General features: G+C 39.6%; 1 protein-coding gene and 1 pseudogene across 1 annotated transcript in view; one reads left to right on the forward strand and one right to left on the reverse strand.

Annotated features, from left to right (window-relative positions):
* KMT2C (lysine methyltransferase 2C) overlaps window positions 1-24,654 on the reverse strand; it is a 301,079-nt gene that overhangs the window by 214,074 nt on the left and 62,351 nt on the right. The window contains exon 2 of the mRNA NM_170606.3: window positions 9,589-9,677. Coding sequence (NP_733751.2) covers window positions 9,589-9,677 — 89 coding nt within the window. The remainder of the gene's footprint in view (window positions 1-9,588; window positions 9,678-24,654) is intronic.
* On the forward strand, window positions 18,521-19,689 carry SEPTIN7P6 (septin 7 pseudogene 6; annotated as a pseudogene).

A 24,654-nucleotide genomic window follows, 5' to 3' on the forward strand; every position in this document is an offset into this window, starting at 1 on the left:
ATTGCACATAGATGTTGACAGAAGCTTTCTTAACTGCCAAAACCAGGGTGCAAATAGAAATTCCATCAGTAGGCAAATGGATAAACTCTGGTCCATCCAAACAATACAATATTATTCAGCACTAAGAAGAAATGCACTATCAAGACATGAAAAGACACGGAGGAGGGCTGGGCGCGGTGACTCACGCCTGTAATCCCAGCATTTTGGGAGGCTGAGGCGGGTGGATCACCTGAGATCAGGAGTTCGAGACCAGCCTGATCAACATGGAGAAACCCCGTCTCTACTAAAAATACAAAATAGCCAGGTGTGGTGGTGCATGCCTGTAATACCAGCTACTCGGGAGGCTGAGACGGGAGAATCACTTGAAACCGGGAGGCGGAGACTGCAGTGGGCCAAGATCACACCATTGCACTCCAGCCTGGGAATACAGAGCAAGACTCCATAAAGAAAGAAAAGAAAAGAGAAAAGAAAAAAACAGAAAAGGATGTGGAGGAAACATAAATGCATATTATTAAGTGAAAGAAGCCAGTCTGAAAAGACTACATATCCTATATGATTCAAACTATTTGACACTCTGGAAAAGGCAAAACTATGGAGACAGTAAAAAGAATAGTGGTTGCCATAGGTTAGCAAGGAGGGAGGGAGCAAGGAGGGAGGGATTAATAGGTGGAACACCTATTAATTTTTAGGGCAGTGACTATGATACTATAATGACAGATACCTGTCATTATACCTTTGTCCAAACCCATAGAATGTAAACCAAGAGTGAACCCTTATGTGAACTATAAACTGTGGATAATGTGTCAATGTAGGCTTAAAAAATTGTGACAAATGTACCACTCTAGTATAGGATGTTGATACTGAAAAAGGCTATGCACGTGTCGGGGAAGGGGATTTATGGGAGATTTCAGTACCTTCCTCACAATTTTGCTACAAACCTAAAATTGCTCTGAAAAATAAAGGCTATTTTTGGCCAGGTGCAGTGGTTCATGCCTATAATCGCAACACTTTGGGAAGCTGAGGTGGGCGGATCACCTGAGGTCAGGAGTTCAAGACCAGCCTGACCAACATGGAAAACCCTGTCTCTACTAAAAATACAAAATCAGCTGGGCGTGGTGGCACATGCCTGTAGTCCCAGCTACTCGGGAGGCTGAGGCAGGAGAATCGCTTGAACCCAGGAGGCAGAAGTTGCAGTGAGCCGAGATTGCACCATTGCACTCCAGCTTGGGCAAGAAGAGTGAAACTCTGTCTCAAAAAAAATAAATAAATAAAATAAAGTCTATTTTTAAAAACTTATGCTAGAAGTAACTGAATGTATCGATGTGAACTCACATTTGTAAGTGTGTGTATAGATCTATGTAATTACAGTCCTCTCAGAACAGGGATATGTTCTGAAATATTCATCATTAGGCAATTTTGTCACTGTTACACAAACCTAGATGGTATAGCCTACTAAAAACCTAGGCTATTTGGTACAGCCTAGTACTCTAGGCTACAAACCTGTACAGCATGTTACTGTACGCAACTATAACACAACAGTCAAGTATTTGTGTATCTAAATATATGTAAACATAGAAACAATGGTAAGAATACAGTGTAAAAACACAAAAAATGGTACACCTACATAGAGCACTTACCATGAATGGTGCTTGTGGGACTAGAAGTTGCTCTGGGTGAATCACTGAGTGAATGTAAAGGCCTCAAACATTACTATGCACTAAAGTAGGCTTTATAAACACTGTACACTTAGGCTACACCAAATTTTTAAAATATTATTTTTCTTTGCTCAGTAATAAATTAACCTTAGCTTACTGTAACATTTTTACTTTATAAACTTTTTTTAAACTTTTTGACACTTTTGTAATAACACAGCTTAAAACACACACTGTACAGCTATACAAAAAAAATCTTCCTTTCTACCCTTATTCTGTAAGTTTTTTGGTTTTAGGGTTTTTCTTTTTTGTTTCTCTGTTTTTGTTTTAAACTTAGCCCAGGCCTACACGAAGTCGGGATCGTCACTATCACTGTCTTTCCACCTCCACATTTTGCCCTGCTGGAAGGTCTTCAGCGACAATAACACACAAGGAGCTGTCATTTCGTATGATAACAATGCCTTCTTCTGATATAGCTCCTGAAGGTTCTGCCTGAGGCTGTTTTACAGCTTTTTTGCTTAAGAAAAGGGGTACACTCCAAAATAATGATAAAAAGTATAGTATAGTAAATATATAAACCAGTAACACAGTCACTTATTATCAAGAGTTATGTACTGTGCAAGAGTGTATGTAGTGTACTTTTGTATAGTACATGTAATTGGGAGTACACTGGGTTTGTTTACACCAGCATCACCACAAACATGTGAGTAATGCACTATGTTGCGCTGTGCTATGACATCACGACAGCTATGACATCATGACAGCTATGACATATTGAGGTGACAGAAATTTCTCCGCTCCATTATAATTTTATGGGACTACTGTCATATATGTGATCTGCTGTCATTATGCAGTGCATGACTGTACTAGTATATGACTAAAGTGGACTCACATAACTAATTCTCAACAGTAACAATTGTAATATGCATCCCTTTGTTGTGGGAAGTCAGGGACCCCAAACTGAGGGACCGGCTGAAGCCATGGTGGAAGAAATAAATTGTGAAGATTTCACAGACATTTATTAGAGCCCCAAAATAATACTTTTATAATTTCTTACGCCTGTCTTTACTGTAATCTCTGAACATAAATTGTGAAGATTTCATGGGCACTTATCACTTCCCCAATCAATACCCTTGTGATTTCCTATGCCTGTCTTTACTTTAATCTCTTAATCCCGTCATTTTCATAAGCTGAGGAGGATGTATGTCGCCTCAGGACCCTGTGATGATTGCATTAACTGCACAAATTGTTTGCAGAGCATGTGTGTTTGAACTATATGAAATCTGAGCACCTTGAAAAAAGAACAGGATAACAGCAATGTTCAGGGAACAAGAGAGACAACCTTGAACTCTGACCGCTGGTGAGCCGGGCAGAACAGAGCCACATTTCTCTTCTTTCAAAAGCAAATGGAAGAAATATCGCTGAATTCTTTTTCTCAGCAAGGAACATCCCTAAGAAAGCAAATGCATCCCTGAGGGTGGGCCTCTAAAATGGCCCCCTTGGGTGCGGCTGTCTTTTATGGTCGAGCTGTAGGGATGAAATAAGTCCCAGTCTCCCGTAGCGCTCCCAGGCTTATTAGGAAGAGGATATCCCCGCCTAATAAATTTTTGGTCAGACCAGTTGTCTGCTCTCAAACTGTCTCCTGATAAGATGTTATCAATTACAATGCGTGCCCGAAACTTCATTACCAATTTTAATTTCGCCCTGGTCCTGTGGTCCTGTGATCTCGCCCTGCCTTCATTTGCCTTGTGATATTCTATTACCTTGTGAAGCACGTGATCTCTGTGACCCACACCCTATTCATATACTCCCTCCCCTTTGAAAATCACTAATAAAAACTTGCTGGTTTTGCGGCCTGTGGGGCATCACGGAACCTACCAACATGTGATGTCTCCCCCGGATGCCCAGCTTTAAAATTTCTCTCCTTTGTACTCTGTCCCTCTATTTCTCAAACCAGCCGAAGCTTAGGGAAAATAGAAAAGAACCTACGTGAATTATCGGGGGTGAATTTTGCCCAATATCTGGCTGAATTTCCCCCGATATCCCTTGAGCCTAAATTTTTGTCCCTAATACTATTCTCCACTAAAAAACTAGAAGTCCTTAGAGAATAGCTGATTTCATACCTTGTGGCAGGGAGAATTTTAAATGGGCCTGAAAAATAAAACTTTTGCCAAAGAGCACAGAGCTCTGAAAGGTTTTGAGATGTTATTTAAAAGGACTCAGAAGCCAGCTGACAAGGGGCTCCCATGAGCCAAACTATGACAACTTGAACACTAGGAGAAAAATGTTTAATTATAACTAACTGAATTATAATTAGCTAATTATAGTTAATGAAAACAAGTTTGCAAAGACCTGATTATGTGATTCTCAAGAAAAAAAAAGTTTCTCTTCTCTTCAAGTAACTAGCACTTCACTCAAGTTGATTTTATTCATATAAAAAAAATGCGCAGAGACTGGTAACAGCCACCACCAACAAAAGATCAAATTTTCTCAGCTGGGTGTGGTGGCTCATGCCCGTAATCCCACCACTTTGGGATGCCAAGGCAGGTGGATCACGAGGTCAGGAGTTCAAGACCAGCCTGGCAAAGATGGTGAAACCCAGTCTGCACTAAAAATACAAAAAAATTAGCCAGGCATGGTGGCAGGCACCTATAATCCCAGCTACTCGGGAGGCTGAGGCAGAGAATTGCTTGAACCCGGGAGGCAGAGGTTGCAGTGAGCTGAGATAAAGATGAAATTTTCTTAACATAAAATATTACCAAATGAGGTTTCTTATTACTTTCCCAATGGCTACTCCTAGATTACTCATTCCCATCCACCCACCATGGTAGGAGACTCATTAGCATTCTTTTCTTTTTTCTGAGACAGGATCTCACTCTGTTACCCAGACTGGTGAACAGTGGTGCGACTGATTACAGGTCACTGCAACTGGTGTCTCCCGGGCTCAAGCGATCCTCCCACCTCAGCCTCCTGAGTAGCTAGGACTACAGGTGCACACCATCACACCCAACTAATTTTTGTATTTTTTTGTAGAGACGGGTTTTTGCCATGTTGCCCAGGCTGGTCTCCAACTCCTGAGCTCAAGCAATCCACCCACCTAGGCCTCCCAAAGGTCTAGGGTTATAGGTGTGAGCCACCACGCCCAGCGTAATACCCTTATATTACTACAAAACATTAAGTAAGCATGTCAAGGCACAGGATTTACAGGAACAAGAGAACCTTCAAATAAACCCTGGGGTCTTGAGACATACATATGTTAAAACCTTGCAGCAAACTTGAATGTGCTTTTAAATGAACTAGAAATTTATGGAACAAACTCTGTCTGGATTTGCAGGTTTAGTGGTTATAACAGTTATTCTTTCTTTCACTGTTCTCCTTGCCCTATGTTCACTATGTTCCCTAAAAGAAGTGGACAATGGACTTTCCAAGGACAAAGACAAAACAAAGACTAATATACACTTGGCTTTATTAACTTTAGTAAAGCCAGGTTAAAAAAAATAGTTTTCTGCTCCTATTAAAACATTTATCTAAACTGTATTTGCCTTGACCTCTCATAGGAGACAGCATGAGAAGACAGTCCATTCGTGGGGCTTACTACTCTCCAGTAAGGAAAAAAAAATGCCAGGAATTTAGTTTTGTTGTAATGTTGTAATGTTCCAAGAATGGTAGGTAGCTTAGAAAACATAAAGAAAATTCAAGAACACAATACTGCTTCACTTAGTGAATCCAATTCCTCCTATATCCCTAGAAGTATTCTTGGCACTGGGGATAAATAAGGTAACAAGACAAATCCCCTGACTTCATAAAGCTTACATTCTAGTGTGGAAAGCATACAATAAGCCAATATGAAATTAAATGTCCTATCTGTTACGTACTAGGAGAAAAATAAAGCAGGAGAAGACAAAGTGACAAGTGTTACTTTTTAGACAAGTTTGTCAGGAAAGGTCTCTGGGAAAACTGTAACTGAGTAGAGACTTGACTGAAGTAAGGGAATAAGCTGTATGAATATCTGAGAAAAAATTTTTCCAAGCAAAGAAGACAAAAAGTGCAAATGCCTGAGAAAGGAGTATGTTTGGTGGGCTCCTGGAAAAGCCAGGAGGCCAGTAAGGATGGAGCCCAGTGAACAAGGGAACATAAGATACGGTTATACAAGTAGCCAAAGTCAGATCAATGGAGCCTGAAAACAATGGTACTGCATGAACTTTGAATTTTATTCTAAATATCACTGGAGTCTTTGGATGGTTGACAGAGGGAAGTAAAAGGCTCTCACTTTGAATTTGGAAGGATCACTCTGGCTACTATGTGTGGGACAAGAGTAGAATGGAATGAAAAGGAAAAAGACCAGTTAGGAAGCTATTGCAGCAGTCCAGTGGAATGGTAGTGTGAAGTTCTGGAATAATAGCAGTGGAGGGGTCAAAGTAATTGAATCCAGGATATACTGGGTAGGTAAAGCCCTCCAGTGGGCTGGATGTCTAAAATGTGAAAATGTGAAATGTGAATGTCTAAAATGTGAATGTATAAAATGTAAAATGTGAAAATGTGAAATCAAGAAAGACTCCATCTTTTTAAGCCTGAACAATATACAGTGGCAATATACCAGAGGTGGTAACACTGGAAGAGAGGGTTTCAGGATAACAACAAAAATTTCCAGAGAGGACACACTAAATATGAGATCCTCTTCAGACATCTAAGAAGAGATGTTAAGAAACAAGCTGAAAGATACAGGTTGTGTTCAAAGCAAGAAAGAGCTGGTGACGTAATTTTAGAGTCATTAGCATTTAGATAACATAATAATAGCACAAAAATAGATAATAAGCCATTAAACTGAATAAGACCACCTAATACATAAGAAGATGAGCGAAGAGAATGAGAAAAAACCAGTGAAGGAGTAGGAAAAAACAAAAAAACAAACAAACAAACAAAAAAAAACCAAGACAATGCAGTGACCTGAAAGTCAAGTTTTAAAAAAAAGTTTCACTCCTGAGAGTGGTTAGCTGTGTGAAATGATCCTGAAAGGTTAAGGAGGATGAAGACTAAAAGCTGGTCTGGGCAATATGAGATCATTACATTGACAAGAATAATTTTAGTAGAATGGGAGGAAGAAAGCTTCATTAGAGTGGGTTCATGAGAAAATGGTGAAAAATAAGTAGTAATCATAGGTATAAATAACTCAAGGATTTTTGCTATGATGGAGCAAAGAAGCTGTATAGTACCTAAAAGGGGATGTTGGATCAAGAGAGGCTATTTGTGTTGAAAGGGGGTGATTCTGCAGCACCCCCCTTATGCTAATGAAATCAATGAGATGGAAAAGTTATTGATGCAGAAAAGCAAGGACAACTGCAGAACCAAAGTCCGTAATACATGAGAGGGGACACAATGGAAGACACAAGCAGAGGAGCTGGCTTTATCCGCAGTCTTTATCCCATTTTACCAGGACAGAAACAACATACGGGTAGGGATGCAAGCAAGAAAATAGATTTGATGGTAGATGAATATGGAACTTCTTTTCTAATTGTTCTCTATTTTTTATTTTTTCACTGAAATAAGCAAGATCATCACTAAAGAATCAAAAATGAGAAGGGGTGTTGGAAGTTTCAGGAGAAAAGAAAAGGTGGTGAAATAATCATCTTCAATAATCAAAGGGCCGGGCATAGTGGCTCACGCCTGTAATCCTAGCATTTTGGGAGGCCAAGGTGGGCGGATCACGTGAGATCAGGAGTTCGAGGCCAGCCTGGCAAACACTGGGAGAACCCTGTGTCTACTAAAAATACAAAAATTAGCCGGGCGTGGTGGCGGGTGGCTGTAATCCCAGCTACTCAGAAGGCTGAGACAGGAGAATCACTTGAACCTGGGAGGCGGAGGTTGCAGTGAGCCAAGATCACGCCACTGCACTCCAGCCTGGGGAACAAAGGACGAAACTCTGTCTCAAAAAAACAAAATTAAAAAAAATAATAATCAGGCACGGCGCGGTGACTCACGCCTGTAATCTCAGCACTTTGGGAGGGCAAGGCAGGTGGATCACGAGGTCAGGAGTTCAAGACCAGCCTGGCCAATATGGTGAAACCCCATCTCTACTAAAAAATACAAAAATTAGCGAGGCGTGGTGGCATCCACCTATAGTCCCAGACCAGGAGGGAGACTGAGGCAGGAGAATCACTGGAACCCGGGAGACAGAGATTGCAGTGAGCTGAGATCGCACCACTGCACTCCAGCCTGGGAGACAAGAGTGAGACTCCAACTCAAAAAGAATAATAATAATAATAATAATAATAATAATAATAATAGCAATAATAATAATTAGAGCCAGACACGGTGGCTCACACCTGTAATCCCAGCACTTTGGGAGGTGGGTGGATCACCTGAGGTCAGGAGTTCGAGACCAGCCTCGTCAACATGGCAAAACCCTGTCTCTACTAAAAATACGAGTTATCCAGGCATGGTGGCGCATGTCTATAATCCCAGCTACTTGGGAGGCTGAGGCAGGGAGAACTGCATGAGCCCGGCGGGTGGAGGTTGCAGTGAGCCGAGATCACACCACTGTAGTCCAGCCTGGGAGAGAGAGCAAGACTCTGTCTCAAAAATAACAACAATAGGCCAGGCACAGTGGCTCACGCCTGTAATCCCAGCACTTTGGGAGGCTGAGGTGAGCGGATTATGAGGTCAGGAGATTGAGACCATCCTGGCTAACACGGTGAAACCCCGTCTCTACTAAAGATACAAAAAATTAGCTGGGTGTGGTGGCGGGCGCCTGTAGTCTCAGCTATTAAGGAGGCTGACGCAGGAGAATGGCATGAACCTGTGAATCCAGGAGGCAGAGCTTGCAGTGAGCTGAGATCACGCCACTGCACTCCAGCCCAGGCAACAGAGCAAGACTCTTGTCTTAAAAACAAACAAACAAACAAACAAAAACACTAAAGCTTCAAAAAGACTTTTCAGTAGTAAAAGTAACAATATATAGTACAGAAAAAAAAACCATATGAAAAAGAATTAACAGTTTAAAGTAATACAGTAATTCATGAATGTGCACAAAAGGGTGAAATTTAGTATTCTGAGCTTCCAAGAGTAATACTCTAACTAGACCTTATTGGAAAGAAACTATAGATTATTTGAAGGCTTTCCAAGAATTATACCTATATAATAGCAACACATCTGACAACTGTAAGGATTTCTGGAAAAATGTATTTTAAAATCTATAACAATTTTTAATTTTTCTCATCTCTTAACTGCATGATATTCTGTAAGCATCAAGATGATATTCAACTTCAGAGAAAAAGCCTATCACTGTGTCTAAACTTTATCTAACAACTATTGAAAACTTTACCAATGAGAGACTATCTCCTACAGGTATCCTCTCAATACAATATGAATCCTAGTCCCTTTGATAACTTACCACTGACCTGAAAATTTTGGAAACTGCTTTGGGCAACCAACTCTAGCTACCTTTTGCAGATGCACAACATACAGCAGCTTATTTAAGGGCACCTAAAAGTCCAACAGACCAGAAACTATTTGGTCTAGTTTGGCCTAGCCTTTCACAATATTAATTCCATAACGAAACATACTACTTTTTTCAGAACACATATTAACAAAATAAGCTTTAAACAAACACTAGATGGTTCATAGGCCAGAATATACTATGAGCGATTATACTAACAGCCTGGATTACTGTTTCTCCCAGTCTTTATTTCCTTGATAAAACATTTATCTTCAGATATAAAATAATTATACTAAACCAGGGCTTAGGGAAAAAAGAGAGATAGAGGGCTCAGTTTTTTCACTTTGTCATTAGTTATCAAAACAAGGCAGATGGGAAACTTAGAGTTCAGTATAAAAACAAATGCTTAACACAGAATATTGTTATACAAATGCTACATGCAGTGTACAAACATATGCAAAGCATCATTATACATTCTTATAAATTCTTGAGTTCTGATACCTGTTTCCACAATCGTTTCTGTTTCTGTTGTCTCCAGCCCATCCATGCTGTCCTCATCTTCCACTGCAGTTTTCCCCCTACTTCGAGGTCTACAGAAAAAAAAAAAAATAATAAGTACATAGAGTTAAATGTTAAATTTTAAGGCTTAGACTTATATTCAACATAAGGCACAATTTGAAGGTATACAAAATAAGTAATTAGGGCATTTTTCCAGCATTTTACCATATCAAGTAGAAAATATCAGAGTTTACAGTCATTTTCTCCCTTAAATCCAGCACTTCCTTATACTCTAAATGTGAGGACAGACCCACATGAATATAATTGTGTCCTCATAATTCACTTAAGTATTCCTCACTCTGGTTTTGCCCCTTTTTTAGGTAACCTTCTGAAGTCTCCCTCTGTCTACAGTAGTGGCTTTTAACTACATAATGGGTTCTTCACAAAGTTCACATACCAGGTTTAACTTCTATATTTAATAAAGTTGATGTGAAATGACCAGATATATGTATTTTTAAAAGCTTTGTAAAAGGTGCTTTTGGTGACTGTGATGCAGATGACTAAAAAACAAAATTTTAAAAATTAAGCACGATTATAATCATGTCCACCTTACAAGCATAATAAAATTTAATTTATAAACACTTCAGGAAAGTAAAATAAAGGTAAGAGTCACAGCAAGGTGAAATTCCTGACAGAAAGCAATTGAAAAAAAAAAAAAAAACTAATGCCTTTAAATTCTTTGAATTGTACTAAATACGGTATAGAAATGAGTAAAAGAAAAATTAATAACACATAAGAGCAACAAGATATTACACATAAAAACTTGGAAACTGACAAAGCAGTACTCAGATAATGTCAGTGTTTTAAATTATTTCGCAGTATTTTAAACTCTTTAAAAGAAAAAGGCTGGGTAAGGTGGCTCACACCTGTAACCCCAGCACTTTGGAGGGTCGAGTTAGATGGATCATTTGAGTGCAAGAGTTCAAGACCAGCCTGGCCATCATGGCGAAACCCCATCTCTACCAAAAAAAAAATTCAAAAATTAGGCAAACATGGTGGCGTGCCAGTAATTCCAGCTAAAGAAAAAAAACAAAGAAGGGAGGGAGGGAGGAAATAGAAAGAAAAAATACAAATCAACTCAGTATTTAATTGAAAAACATAAAACATTTAAAAAGTGAAAAACAGCTGGCTGTGGTGGCTCACATCTGTAATCCCAGCACTTTGGGAGGCTGAGGCAGATATATCACCTGAGGTCAGGAGGTCACGAACAGCCTGGCCAACATGGTGAAACTCCGTCTCTACTAAAAATACAAAAATTAGCCAGGTGTTGTGGCGTGTGCCTGTAATCCCAGCTACTTGGGAGGCTGAGGCACAAGAATCGCTTGAACCTGACAGATGGAGGTTGCAGTGAGCTGATATCATGCCACTGCACTCCAGCCTGGGCGACAGAGTGAGACTGTCTCAAACACACAAACAAAAAAAAGGGGGGTGGGGGGGGGGGGACAATATGAAATAAAAGAATAATATGAAAAAAGAATAAAACAAAGAACTATGTTTTAAACAATAAGAAATCCATTTAAGTCTTGTTCTCATAAAAAAGTTAACCAACCTAGGCCAGGCACAGTAACTCACGCCTGTAATCCTAGTACTTTGGGAGGCCGAGGTGGGTGGATCACCTGAGGTCAGGAGTTCAAGACCAGCCTGGCCTACGTGGCGAAACCTCGTCTCTACTAAAAATACAAAAATTAGCTGGACGTGTTGATGCACATCTGTAATCCCAGCTACTCAGGAGGCTGAGGCAGGAGAATCGCTTGAACCCAGTGGGCAGGAGGTGCAGTGAGCCGAGATCACACCATTGCACTCCAGCCTGGGCAACAAGAGTGAAACTCTGTCTCAAAAAAAAAAAGTTAACCAACCTAAACCATGAAGGAGCTATAACATAATAATATATTAAAAATTAAGGTGACCAGCCGGGCGTAGTGGCTCACACCTGTAATCCCAGCACTCTGAGAGGCCGAGGCAGGCAGATCACCTGAGGTAGGGAGTTCGAGACCAGCCTGACCAACATGGAGAAACCCCGTCACTACTAAAAAAAATACAAAAACAAAAAGAAAAATTAGCTGGGCATGGTGGCACATGCCTGTAATCCCAGCTACTCGAGAGGCTAAGGCAGGAGAATTGCTTGAACCTGGGAGGCAGAAGTTGCGGTGAGCCGAGATTGCACCACTGCACTCCAGCCTGGGCAACAAGGGCGAAATTCTATCTCAAAAAGAAAAAAAAATTGAAGTAATCAAAGCCTAAATGGTTTTATAATTAAACTACTAAAAACTATCAAAAAGTCGGTCTTAACCAAAAATAAAAAAAAGGAAGTACCTGACTCAGAATTCCAACAAACATTGTCAAAAACTATGAATGAAAATAAAAACTGAGAACAATCCTATTGAATATAATCAGAATGCCAGGATGATTCAACATTAGAAATTTGTTAATGTTACATAACAAGTCAAGCAGTCAAAATAGCATCACTTCAAACTTCACAGGGGGAAAGGGGAAAGAAGGCAGAACTAAATAAAAAGACTACAAAACCTGAAAGATGAAAAAGGGTGAATTAGGGAGAAAACACTCTAAGGTGGATCTTATTGTTCATGGACAAAAAGAAAGAACATCTTTAGAATTTATTAAGTAGTTGTTTTTAGGCTGGGCACGGTGGCTCACGCCTGTAATCCCAGCACTTTGGGAGGCTGAGGTGGGTGGATCACGAGGTCAGGAGATCGAGACCATCCTGGCTAACACGGTGAAACCCCGTCTCTACTAAAAATATACAAAAAAATTAGCCGGGCGTGGTAGTGGGCGCCTGTAGTCCCAGCTACTCGGGAGGCTGAGGCAGGAGAATGGCGTGAACCCGGGAGGCAGAGGTTGCGGTGAGCTGAGATCACACCATTGCACTCCAGCCTGGGCAACAAGAGAGAAACTCCGTCTCAAAAAAAAAGAATTTATTAAGTAGTTGTTTTTAAATTTGATAGAAAACATTAAAATAAAGTGGAAAGAAGGGATAAGAAAATTTGATCAATCCAACAGCAGGCAGAAAAGGAATGAAAACAAATGGTACATAGAAAATAACATAAAAAGATAAATATAAATATGAATTTTCACAGTAAACATAAATGGCTTAAACTGTCATAATGATAAAAAAATTAATTTACTTGGATAACATAAGAGAACTTCAGATTACATAAAGCAAACATTTACAGAACAAAGAGAAATTGGTAACTAATCATTAGAGAGATATTAACATCCCACTGTCGGAAACTGATAGATGAAACATTATAGTTTGAAGCATTTTAAACAAGTATTTGGACAACACATTGAGCAAGCATTACTAGATTACTCTATCAATCTTCCTTTGTGTCTGACTCTGTTCAAACACAGTGGATACAGAAATAAATAAAACAAAATCCCTCCTGTCACAAAACTACATTCTAGTGAGAAGAGACAACAGTAAACAAGTATTACACATACAACATCCAACAAAAGAAAGCAAAGAAAAAGGGACTAGCTATTTTAAATAACAGATTTATAAAATAAATGTTTTAAAATAAAATTTTGTAAGGAGCCACTTTAGCACAGAACTGAAGATGAAGCAAACCATACAGATATCTGGGAGAAAAGCATTGCAGTAGAAGTAACAGCAAATGCAAAATTCTTGAGATGAGAGCAAGTGAGGGGGGTTAGAGGGACAAGAAGGATATACGGTGGCTGGGGCAGAGTCAGCGGTAGGGGGTAAGAAGGCATGAGGTCTAAGAATTTTTTTTTAATAGGATCACTTTTTGTTTAGAAACCTGTAGACCAATACAAGAACTGGGGACTGGGAGACTAGAAATCCTCGAAACAATCCCAACATGGCTGCTTCAAAGAAAATAGAGAATGACAAAATAATTCACATGCCATTATGGAGGTAGAGTTTACTTTTCATCTTTCTTTTGTGATTTTTCATAATCATAAACATCCACTTTTAAAGAAATTGGAAACCGTATGGTTTAGCTGACTTTTTAACTTAATCTCTCAGACCCATGTTTTGCTCTACTTTGAGTTTTTTCTCCACTATCTTGACCATCACTGTCTATGCTGTTGTTTGTTTTGGCACAACTGGCTTTATTTCAAGCTCGTTCTGTCTAGTTTATAATCTCTATCAACATATCAGTTATCTGCATTGCCCTACTTACTCCTTAAAAAATAATTTTGATTTTAATTTTTGCTTTTCAAATTTTTCTTCTGATTTCTATTCTTGGTTTTGGCACTAGGAAGACATGCTTTTTACGTTGATCAATTCATCAGAATTCCTTTCCTTCTGGGCAATGGACCAACTTATTGACATCATGTCATTTTCGAATTCTTTTATTTCATCGGTGTCCTTATTGCTGCTCATTGGCTTCTGCCATGTGACTTTTCTGACTAATCAAACACTATATTCTGAATGCAAAGATAATGGTCATACTCTTCAAAACCCTATCAGTTGCCAACTTTCATATTTAAACAGCAAAATAGATACATGTTTTATATTTCCATATTGAGTCAGATATTTCCAGTTTCAGTTTTTAAGGAAAGTTTGAAGTCTAATTACAAATGACAACATGAAGATTATTTATTTTAACCCTTCTTTGGGTTTTCTTCGTTCCCCTCTTTTTCCTGTCTCTTAACCCTTTCATTTCAGTGTTCTTCACTTCACTTTATTACCAAGAAATGTGAAGTAAAAGAATACAACTAACTTTATTTGAGAAAATTTTCTACCAAAACTTTATGTTCCATATTAATCTCAGAATCTGAAACCAACTTGAGTTCCTAAAGTAACATAGGAGACTTCTACATAAAGCCACATGGGAGTAAGACAGGTCAAAATTACCCTCCAGCCCAAACAACTAGGAAACCAGACAAATATAAGAAACAACCTTATTATAAGACACTGGGCAACAGGTATGGCGAAGGGAACAAAGGGAAAGAAACAGGGTGACCCCTACCATGGCACAGGCTTTCTGCTTGGCATTAATTTAGAAACTACCACACAGAGATAGGAACCCAAAATGAGAGCTGAAATGAGAAGACAGAAATCATAGGTTCAGGTGGCTCAAGAAGACTAGAATTTGTGGGACAGACTACCCAAGAGAAGAGAGGTATTCAGAGAAAGAGCTCCAGAAATCTGCAGAGGGATACCCTTGAGTTTCAACTGAATACCAATCTGCACATGTGTGATGTGAAATCCCAGAAGACTGAACAAGAACAACTTCCAGGGAGAGAGCAATTACAGAAGAACAATTCCCAGAGCTCACAGAAAGCTGCGAATCAACTGTATTGTCTCTAGCCAACTGTATTGTCTTTAGCCAGAGTGGCAAGACCTCAATGACTATGTAACACATTCAGCAGAGACCAGAGTGAGACACACCTTTAGGAGCAGGGCTAAATGAGCCACAGAACAAATGCTATTCTAGACCATCCCTAAAAGAGCTGACAAATAAGTCTCAACTTATCCTGAGAGTGACTCTGTATGAAAAAAATAAATAAGTCTCAACTGAACAATAATGATTCCCAACTTAACTACTGGGCATAATCCAATAATCCAGCTATTATAAGTATGCCTCATATGCGCAAGAATGTAAAGAAAACATGAATATGAGAGAAACAGAAGATATTAAAAATAACATGGAACTCAAAGGTAACATCAAAAGATAACATCAAATGTAAATTTCAGGCCGGGTGTGGTGGCTCACGCCTCTAATCCCAGCACTTTGGGAGGCTGAGGCGGGCAGATCACAAGGTCAGGAGATCGAGACCATCCTGGCTAACATGGTGAAACCCCATCTCTACTAAAAATACAAAAAATTAGCCGGGCGCGTGGTGGCAGGTGCCTGTAGTCCTAGCTATTTGGGAGGCTGAGGCAGGAGAATGGTGTGAACCCAGGAGGTGGAGACTGCAGTGAGCCGAGATTACACCACTGCACTCCAGCCTGGGTGACAGAGCGAGACTCCGTCTCCAAAAAAAAAAAGAAAAGAAAAAAAGAAAAAAATGCAAATTTCACATTGAAAAGTTAACATGTGATTAGAAATGACAAAAGAAGATCATTATCCCTAAAGACATAACAAAAAAAAATCTATTCAAAATAAAGAACAGTATGAAAAATGACAACACAGCTACAGTGCCCTGTGGAATAATAGCAACCTACCTAACTAATATGTGTGAGGTTGGGGTTAAAGGGATAGGGACAAAAAAATTGTTTAGTGAAATAATTAGCTGTAAATTTTAAAAGCTGTATTATTATAAGCCCACAGATCCAAGCACAACAAAATCTGAAACAGACAGACACACACACACACACACACACACACACACACACACGTACCAGTAAGGTACTTTATAGTCAAATTGCTGAAAAAGATTAATAAAGAGAAAATATTAAAAGCAGCAAAAGAAAATACACATTGCTTAAAGGGGGAATAAAGTAAAAATGACTGCAGGCTTCTTGTCTGAAACTATGTAAGCCAGAAGACAGTAAAAAACATATTTAAAGTACTAAGGAGAAAATTAAAGGAAAAACCCTTCTAAACACTGAACAAAACATGCAGCAAAAAAAAGTATCCTTCAAAAGCAACAGTAGGCTGGGTGCAGTGGCTCACGCCTATAATCCCAGCACTTTGGGAAGCCGAGGCAGGCGGATCACCTGAGGTCGAGTTCGAGACCAGCCTGGCCAAGATGGTGAAACCCTGTCTCTGCTAAAAATACAAAAATCAGCCAGGAATGGTAGCAGGCGCCTGTAATCCCAGCTACTCTGGAGGCTGAGGCAGAATTGCTCCAACTAGGGAGGTGGAGGTTGCAGTGAGCAGAAATCGCACCGCTGCACTCCAGCCTGGGCGGCAGAGTGAGACCCTGTCTCAAACAAACAAACAAACAAACAAACAGTTAACTAAAAACTTCCTCCTTTTTTCTTTTCTTCTTTTGAGATGGAGTCTCGCTATATTGCTCAGGCAGGTCTTGAATTCCTGGTCTCAAGCGATCCTCCCACCTTGGCTTCCCATAGGGCTGGGATTACAGGCATTAGCCTCCCGGCCCAGTGTTTTGTTTTGAAGTGTGCTTTGTCTGATATTAACATAGCCACTCCAGCTTAATTTGATTAGTGTTGGCATGTTTTATCTTTCTCTTTATGTCATTTTATTTCAATTGTCTTTCAGGTAGACAGAATATAATTAGGTCTAAAATAGATTCTATTAGTGGGGCATAGTGGCATGTGCCTGTAGTCCTGGGTACTCAGGAGGATGAGGTGGGACGAACACCTGACAAAAACAACCCAACTCAAAAATGAGCAAAGAACTTCCACAGACATTTTCCAAAGAAGTTATACAAATGACCAAAAAAACATGAAAAGATGCTCACGATGACTATTAGAAAAATGAAAAATCAAAACTAAGATATACCACCTCACACCCATTAGGATGGCTACTGTGAAAAATAAAAAAAAGAATAACAAATGTTGGCAAGGACGTGGAGAAACTGAAACACTAGTGCACAGGTGTAGGGAACATAAAATGATATGGGCCCTGGAAAACAGTACGGCAGTTTCTCAAGCAGTTAAAAATAGAATTGCCATATGATCCACAAATTCCACCTCTGGGTATACACCAAAAAGAATCAGAAGCAGAGTCTCCAAAGAGATATTTATACACCCATGTTCACAGCAGCATTATTCACAATAAATAAAACATAATTAACAGTTAAGTAAAATGTGGTACAGACATACCACATTGGCAGTATGTCTATGGTGGAATACTATGCAGCCTTAAAAAGGAAGGAATTTCTGACATATGCGATACTACAACATAAATGAACCTTGACAACAATCTCCTAAGTGAATTAAACCAGTCACAAAGAAAAAAAAATAGTGGATGATTCCACTTATATAAGGTACTAAGAGTAGCTAAAATCAGAGACGGAAAGTGGAACGGTGGTTGCCAGAGGCTGAGAGAAGGGAGAAACTGGGAGTTATTGTTTAATGGCTATAAAGTATGAGTTTAACAAGATTTTTTAAAAAGCTATGAAAATGGATAGTGTCTACATTATGAATGTATCTCACATCACTAAAATGTACACTTAAAAATAGTTAAGGGGTTGGGTGGCCACAGACGGCCGGGCGGGATGTAACCAGCCGCTGAGCTGCAGCCCTTCCGTGTCCGCAGGCTTCGGCCCGGCCGCCGCCGCCCATCAGCTATGGAGGAGCTTTACAACTTCCCGGCCTGCAGAGCCGGGCGCAGCAAGGGCCAGACGCGGCGCGAGCTGGCGCTGCGAGCCAACGGGCCGGCGCCTGGCGGGCACGATCGCAAGGTCGCGCAGAAGCTCCTCAATGGCCAGCGCCAGTTGCAGCCCCGGCCGCACCCTTGCCTCACCTGAGCCTGGGCTCTTGCTCTTGCGGAATCCACAGGTCTTTCTTGAAGAAATCTGTAGTCAGAACTCTGTGCTGCATTTTTATCCAGAGAAGGAACAGGAAGAGAAGAGTGTGGTCTCCTAGAAATCTAGCACTGGAGAAACGAGGAAAATTCTTCCAAGGATGGTCTCCCACTCAGAGCTGAGGAAGCTTTTCTACTCAGCAGATGCAGTGTGTTTTGATGTTGACAGCACGGTCATCAGAGAAGAAGGAACCAACATTCAAAGCAGCTGCCAACTATTCCAAGTTTCCCAGCTGGAGGAGCCCTGACCTGCACCTTCGCAGAAGCCCTGAAGCAGACACCCCAGGGAGCACCTACCAGGGGCACCCCCGGCTGGCACCAGCATACAAAGTGAGACAGGGTCTCGCCTTATTTCGCAGGCTGGTCTGGAACTCCTGAGCTCAAACAATCTACCCACCTCGGCCTCCCAAAGTTCTGGGATTACAGGTGTGAGCCACCTTACCCAGAGAGGCGAACCTGGATTGGGAAAGTCGACATTAATCAACTCATTATTCCTTACAGATTTGTATGCTCCAGAGTATCCAGGTCCTTCTCATAGAATTAAAAAGACTATACAGGTGGACAATCCAAAGTTTTAATCAAAGAAGGTGGTGTTCAGTTGCTGCTCACAATAGCTGACACCCCAGGATTTGGAGATGTAGTGGATAATAGTAATTGCTGGCAGCCTCTTATCGATTACATTGATAGTAAATCTGAGGACTACCTAAATGCAGAATCACGAGTGAACAGACGTCAGATGCCTAATAGCAGGGTGCAGTGTTGTTTATACTTCATTGCTCCTTCAGGACATGAACTTAAACCATTGGATATTGAGTTTATGAAGCGTTCGCATGAAAAAGTGATTATCATCCAACTTATTGCCAAAGCAGACACACTTATACCAGAGGAATGCCAACAGTTTAAAAAACAGATAATGAAAGAAATCCAAGAACATAAAATTAAGATATATGATTTTCCAGAAATAGATGATGAAGAAGAAAATAAACTTGCTAAAAAGGTAAAGGACTGTTTACCTCTTGCTGTGGTAAGCTAGTAATACTATCATTGAAGTTAATGGCAAAAGGGTCAAAGGAAGGCAGTATCCTTGGGGTGCTGCTGAAGTTGAAAATGGTGAACATTGTGATTTTACAATTCTAAGAAATATGCTGATAAAAACACACACTCAGGACTTGAAAGATGTTACTAATAATGTCCACTATGAGAACTACAGAAGCAGAAAACTGGCAGCTGTGACTTATAATGGAGTTGATAACAACAAGAATAAAGGGCAGCTGACTAAGAGCCCTCTGGCACAAATGGAAGAAGAAAGAAGGGAGTATGCAGCTAAAATGAAGAAGATAGAGATGGAGATGGAGCAGGTGTTAGAGATGAAGGTCAAATAAAAAGTTCAAAAACTAAAGGACTCTGAAGCTGAGCTCCAGTGGCGCCGTGAGCTAATGAAAAAGAATTTGGAAGCACAGCACAAAGAATTAGAGGAAAAACGTCGTCAGTTTGAGGATGAGAAGGCAAACTGGGAAGCTCAACAACATATTTTAGAACAGAACTCTTCGAGAACCTTGGAAAAGAACAAGAAGAAAGGGAAGATCTTTTAAACTCTCTATTGACCACCAGTTACGTATTAGTTGCCAATATGCCAGCTTGGACATCAGTGTTTGTTGGATCCGTTTGACCAATATGCACCAGTTTCATCCATAATGATGGATTTAACAGCGTGACAAAAATTATTTTTTCTTGTTTTTCTTGATGGAGATTAAGATGCCTTGAATTGTCTAGGGTGTTGTGTACTTAGAAAGTAACAGCTCTAAGTACCTTTCCTACATTTTCTTTTTCTTTTTTTTATTAAACAGATATCTTCAGTTTAATACAGGAGAACATTTTACTGTTGTACAATCATGTTCTCGTGGTTTGATTGTTTACAGCCTATTCCAAAATAAAAGGACTGTGGAAGGTTAAAAAAAAAAAATAGTTAAGGGCCAGGAGCAGTGGCTCACACCTGTAATCCCAGCACTTTGGAAGGCCAAGGCAGGCAGATCACTTGAGGTCAGGAGTTCGAGACCAGCCTGGCCAACATGGCAAAATCCTGTCTCCACTAAAAATACAAAAGTTGGCCGGGCATGGTGGCACGTGCCTGTAATCCCAGTTACTTGGGAGGCTGAGGCAGGAGAATCACTTGAACCTGGGAAGCAGAGACTGCAGTGAACCAAGATCACGCCACCACACTCCAGCCTGGGCAACAGAGTGAGGCCCTGTCTCAAAAAAAAACAAAAACAAAAAAAAAAACAAGATGGCAAATTATATTTTGTGTATATTCTACCACAACTTTTTAAAAACTCAAATCAAAATCTGACTGTTTGTAAAGATCAATAAAATTGACAAGATTCCAGCAAAACTAACACACACAAAAAAATGACTACTATGGTTTGAATATCATTTGTCCTCACCAAATCTCATGTTGAAGCTTGGTCTGCAATGTAGCAGTGTTGAGAGGTGGTACCTTTAAGAGGTGATTAGGTTGTTAAGAGGGATTAATGTCGTTCTGAAAGGAGTTCTCACTCTTGGAGAAGTGAACCCACAAGAGTAGGTTGTTATAAAGTGAGGATGCCTCTCATGTTTGGCCTCTCTTTGCAAACATGTGCTTCCCCTTGCACTTCTCTGCCATGTTATGACACAGCACAAAGCCCTCACCACATGCGGCAACCCATCTTAGATTTCTCAGCCTCCAGAACCATAAACCAAATAAATCTTTTTCCTTTATAAACTACCAACTCTCGGGTATTTTGCTATAGCAATAGAAAATGAACTAAAACAGGAATGAAAGGGGATTTCACTATAGACTCCACAGACATTAAAATGACAATAAGGTTGGGTGCGGTGGCTCATGCCTGTAATCCCAGCGGGCAGATCATGAGGTCAGGAGATCGAGACCATCCTGGCTAACACGGTGAAACCCCGTCTCTACTAAAAATACAAAAAAATTAGCTGGGCGTGGTAGTGGGCACCTGTAGTCTCAGCTACTCAGGAGGCTGAGGCAGGAGAATGGCGTGAACCCTGGAGGCAGAGCTTGCAGTGAGCCGAGATCACACAACTGCACTCCAGCCTGGACAACGGAGGGAGACTCCGTCTCAAAAAAAAAAAAAGAAGACAATAAAAGAGCAGTATGAACAACTCCACACACATAAGTTTGATATCTTTAAATGAAATGGACCAATTCATAGGAAATGACAAACTACCAAAACTCACCCAAGATGAAATATGTAACCTGAACAGCTCTGTAACTATTAAAGAAATTGAATTTATAGTATGAAATTTTCTGAAATAACAATCTCCAGGCCCAGGTGCTTTCACTAACTAATTTCTAACCAACACTTTAAGATGATGTAACACCAACTCTACAGAATCCCTTCCAGAAAAAGGAGGGAACAACATTTCTCCACTCATTTAATGAGGTCAGCATTATCCTAAAGCCAAAATCAGGCAAAGACAGTACAAAGAAGCAAAACTAAAGACCAATTTCCTAAGTGAACATAAACACAAAAATCATCAAGAATATATTAGCAAATCAAACTCAGGAACATAAGAAGAGTAATATACCACACCATGTAGGGTTTATCCCAGGAATGCTACACTTGTTCAATATTCAAAAAATCAATCAATGTAATCTACCATGTTAGAAGTCTAAATCACTGGTCAGCAAACTACGGTCCAGAGGCCAAATCCAGTCCTGTACTTGGTCTTTGTAATAATTTTATCGGAACATAGCCATGTATATTTGTTTACATACAGTCTACATCTGCTTTCATGCTACAATAGCAGATATCAGCAGTTACAACAGACAGCATATTGCCAGCAAAGCCTAAAATATTTACTATGTGACCCCTTACAGAAAAAAATGTGGGAGGTCACCACCATTAGACCTGCCTTACAAGAAATGCTAAAGAAAGTTCTTCAAATTGAAACAAAAGAACTCTAAAAACATAAAAACATATTAAAGAATAAAACTCACTATAAAGATAACAATATATTCAAATTCAGAATACTCCAATACTGTAATGGTGGTACCTAAATCAGATTTAAGTCTAGTATAAATGTAAAGAGACAAAAGTATTAAATATTAACTATACATACAACAATTTGGTAATGGATACATGATATATAAAAGATATACATTATGAAATCAATAATACAAAATGTGAAAGGAGACGTTAAATGTAAAGTTGTGGTATACTGTTGAGGTTGTCAGCTTAAAATAGACTATTAACACTATAAGATGTTTTATGTAAGCTTCATGGTAACCACAAAAAAAAGGCTGTAGTAGATACATAAACCAGAAAAGAACCAACGCATATCACTATCAAAAAAATCATCAAATCACAAAGGAAGACAGCAAGAGAGGAAGACTGAAACAAACAAACTTACAAGAGTCAGAAAAATTGACAAAATGGCGATAGCATCTCCTTGCCTATCAATAATTATTTTAAATGGAAATAAATTTAATACTCCAGAAGACACAGATTGGCTGAGTGATTTTTTTTTTAATTTTTTCATTTCATTTTATTTTTTTTGAGATGGAGTCTCGCTCTGTCACCCAGGCTGGAGTGCAGTGGCATGATCTCAGCTCACTGGAAACCCCACCTCCCAGGTTCAAGCAGTTCTCCCACCTCAGCCACCTGAGTAGCTAGGATTACAGACACATGCCACCACACCTGGCTAATTTTTGTATTTTTAGTAGACATGGAATTTCACCATATTGGCCATGCTGGTCTCGAATTCCTGACCTCAGGTGATCCACCTGCCTTGGCCTCCCTAAGTGCTGGTATTACAGGTGTGAGCCACCGTGCCTGGCCGAGTGGATTTTTAAAAACAAGATCCAATGATATGCTGCCTACAAGATACATGAAACAGAAAATCAAAAGCATATCACTACCAAAAAATCGTCAAATCACAAAGGAAGACGGCTAGAGAGGAAGACTGGAACAAAGAAACTACAAGAGTCAGAAAAACTGACAAAATGGCAGTAGTAACTCCTTACCTATCAATAATTATTTTAAATGAAAAGAATTAAGCTCTCCAATAAGACACAGATTGAATGGATTTTTGATTGTTTAAGACGGAGTCTCACTCTGTCGCCCAGACTGGACTGCGATGGTGTGATCTCAGCTCACCGCAACCTCCACCTCCTGGGTTCAAGCGATTCACCTGCCTCAGCCTCCTGAGTAACTGGGATTACAGGCGCCCACCACCACACCCAGCTAATTTTTGTATTTTTAGTAAAGATGGGGTTTCACCATGTTGGTCAGGCTGGTCTCAAACTCCTGACCTCAGGTGATCTACCCACCTCAGCCTCCCAAAGTGCTAGGAATACAAGCGTGAGCCACTGCACCCAGCCAAGCGGATTTTTAAAAACAAGATCCACCTATATGCTGCCTACAAGAGACTCTCTTTAGCTTTAAAGGACTGAGGCTGAAAGTGAAGAGATGGAAAAAGATATTCCACACACATGTTAACCAAAGAGAGCAGAGGATCCTTACATAAAATAAAATAGACTTTGAGTCAAAAAGTGTTAAAAGAGATCAGAGGTCAATTCATCAGGAGAATGTAACATTTATAAATATATATACATGCCCCAATTTGGAGCACCTAAATATATAAAGCACTATCAATAGAACTAAAGGGGGAAATAGCAATACCGTAATAGTGGGGAACTTAAATACCCCACTTTCGACAACGGATAAATAATCCAGACAAAAATTAATAAGGAAACACAGACTTGAACATTACAGACTAAATGGACCTAACAGACACATACAGAACATTCTAGCCAACAGCAGCTGAATATACATTCTTCTTAAGCAGACACAGAATATTCTCCAGGATAGATCATATGTTAGGCCACAAAACAAGTTTTAACAAATTCAAGAAGAATGAAATCATTTCAAGTATCTTTCTAACAACAATTGTATGAAACTAGAAATCAATGACATAGGAAGAAAGCTAGAAAATTCATAAAGAAATCAAAAGGGAAAATCTGTTAATATGGTTGTCATATTTACAAATCAAGGAAAAATGATCATCTCAACAAATGCAGAAAAAAAACAGATATAAATGCAGTAAGACTTCTATGTCCACGGGTTCCGCATCTGTAAATCCAAATGACTATGGATCAAAAAAATATTATTTGTTTATTACTGTCTCTTTAGCTGTATACTCCATGAAGACTAGAAATTTGTTCTATTCACTGCTGCACCCCCAACACCTAACAGCACCAGATGAAACATAAGCACTCAATATATGTTTTGTTGAAAGAGTAGATGGTTCTATAACTCAGGACAAAAATATGGATTCAATAACAAATATTGAGATAACAGCCTAACAATTCTGAAAAGCAAGTTACAGTTCTGTCTCCCACTGAACAAAATAATAAAATTTCACAGGGAATCAAACTTTAAAACAAAGCCACTTAATACTGGATGTTGTGTCATTAAGCTAAGTGATAAGAAATAAGACACTTTAATACCATAAAGGAACAGGCTAAAGTGTCATAATTAGCAGAAAATATCACTAATGTCTACTTAGAAAATACAAG

Source organism: Homo sapiens, chromosome 7, assembly GCF_000001405.40.
Source record: "Homo sapiens chromosome 7, GRCh38.p14 Primary Assembly".
Lineage (NCBI taxonomy): Eukaryota > Metazoa > Chordata > Mammalia > Primates > Hominidae > Homo > Homo sapiens.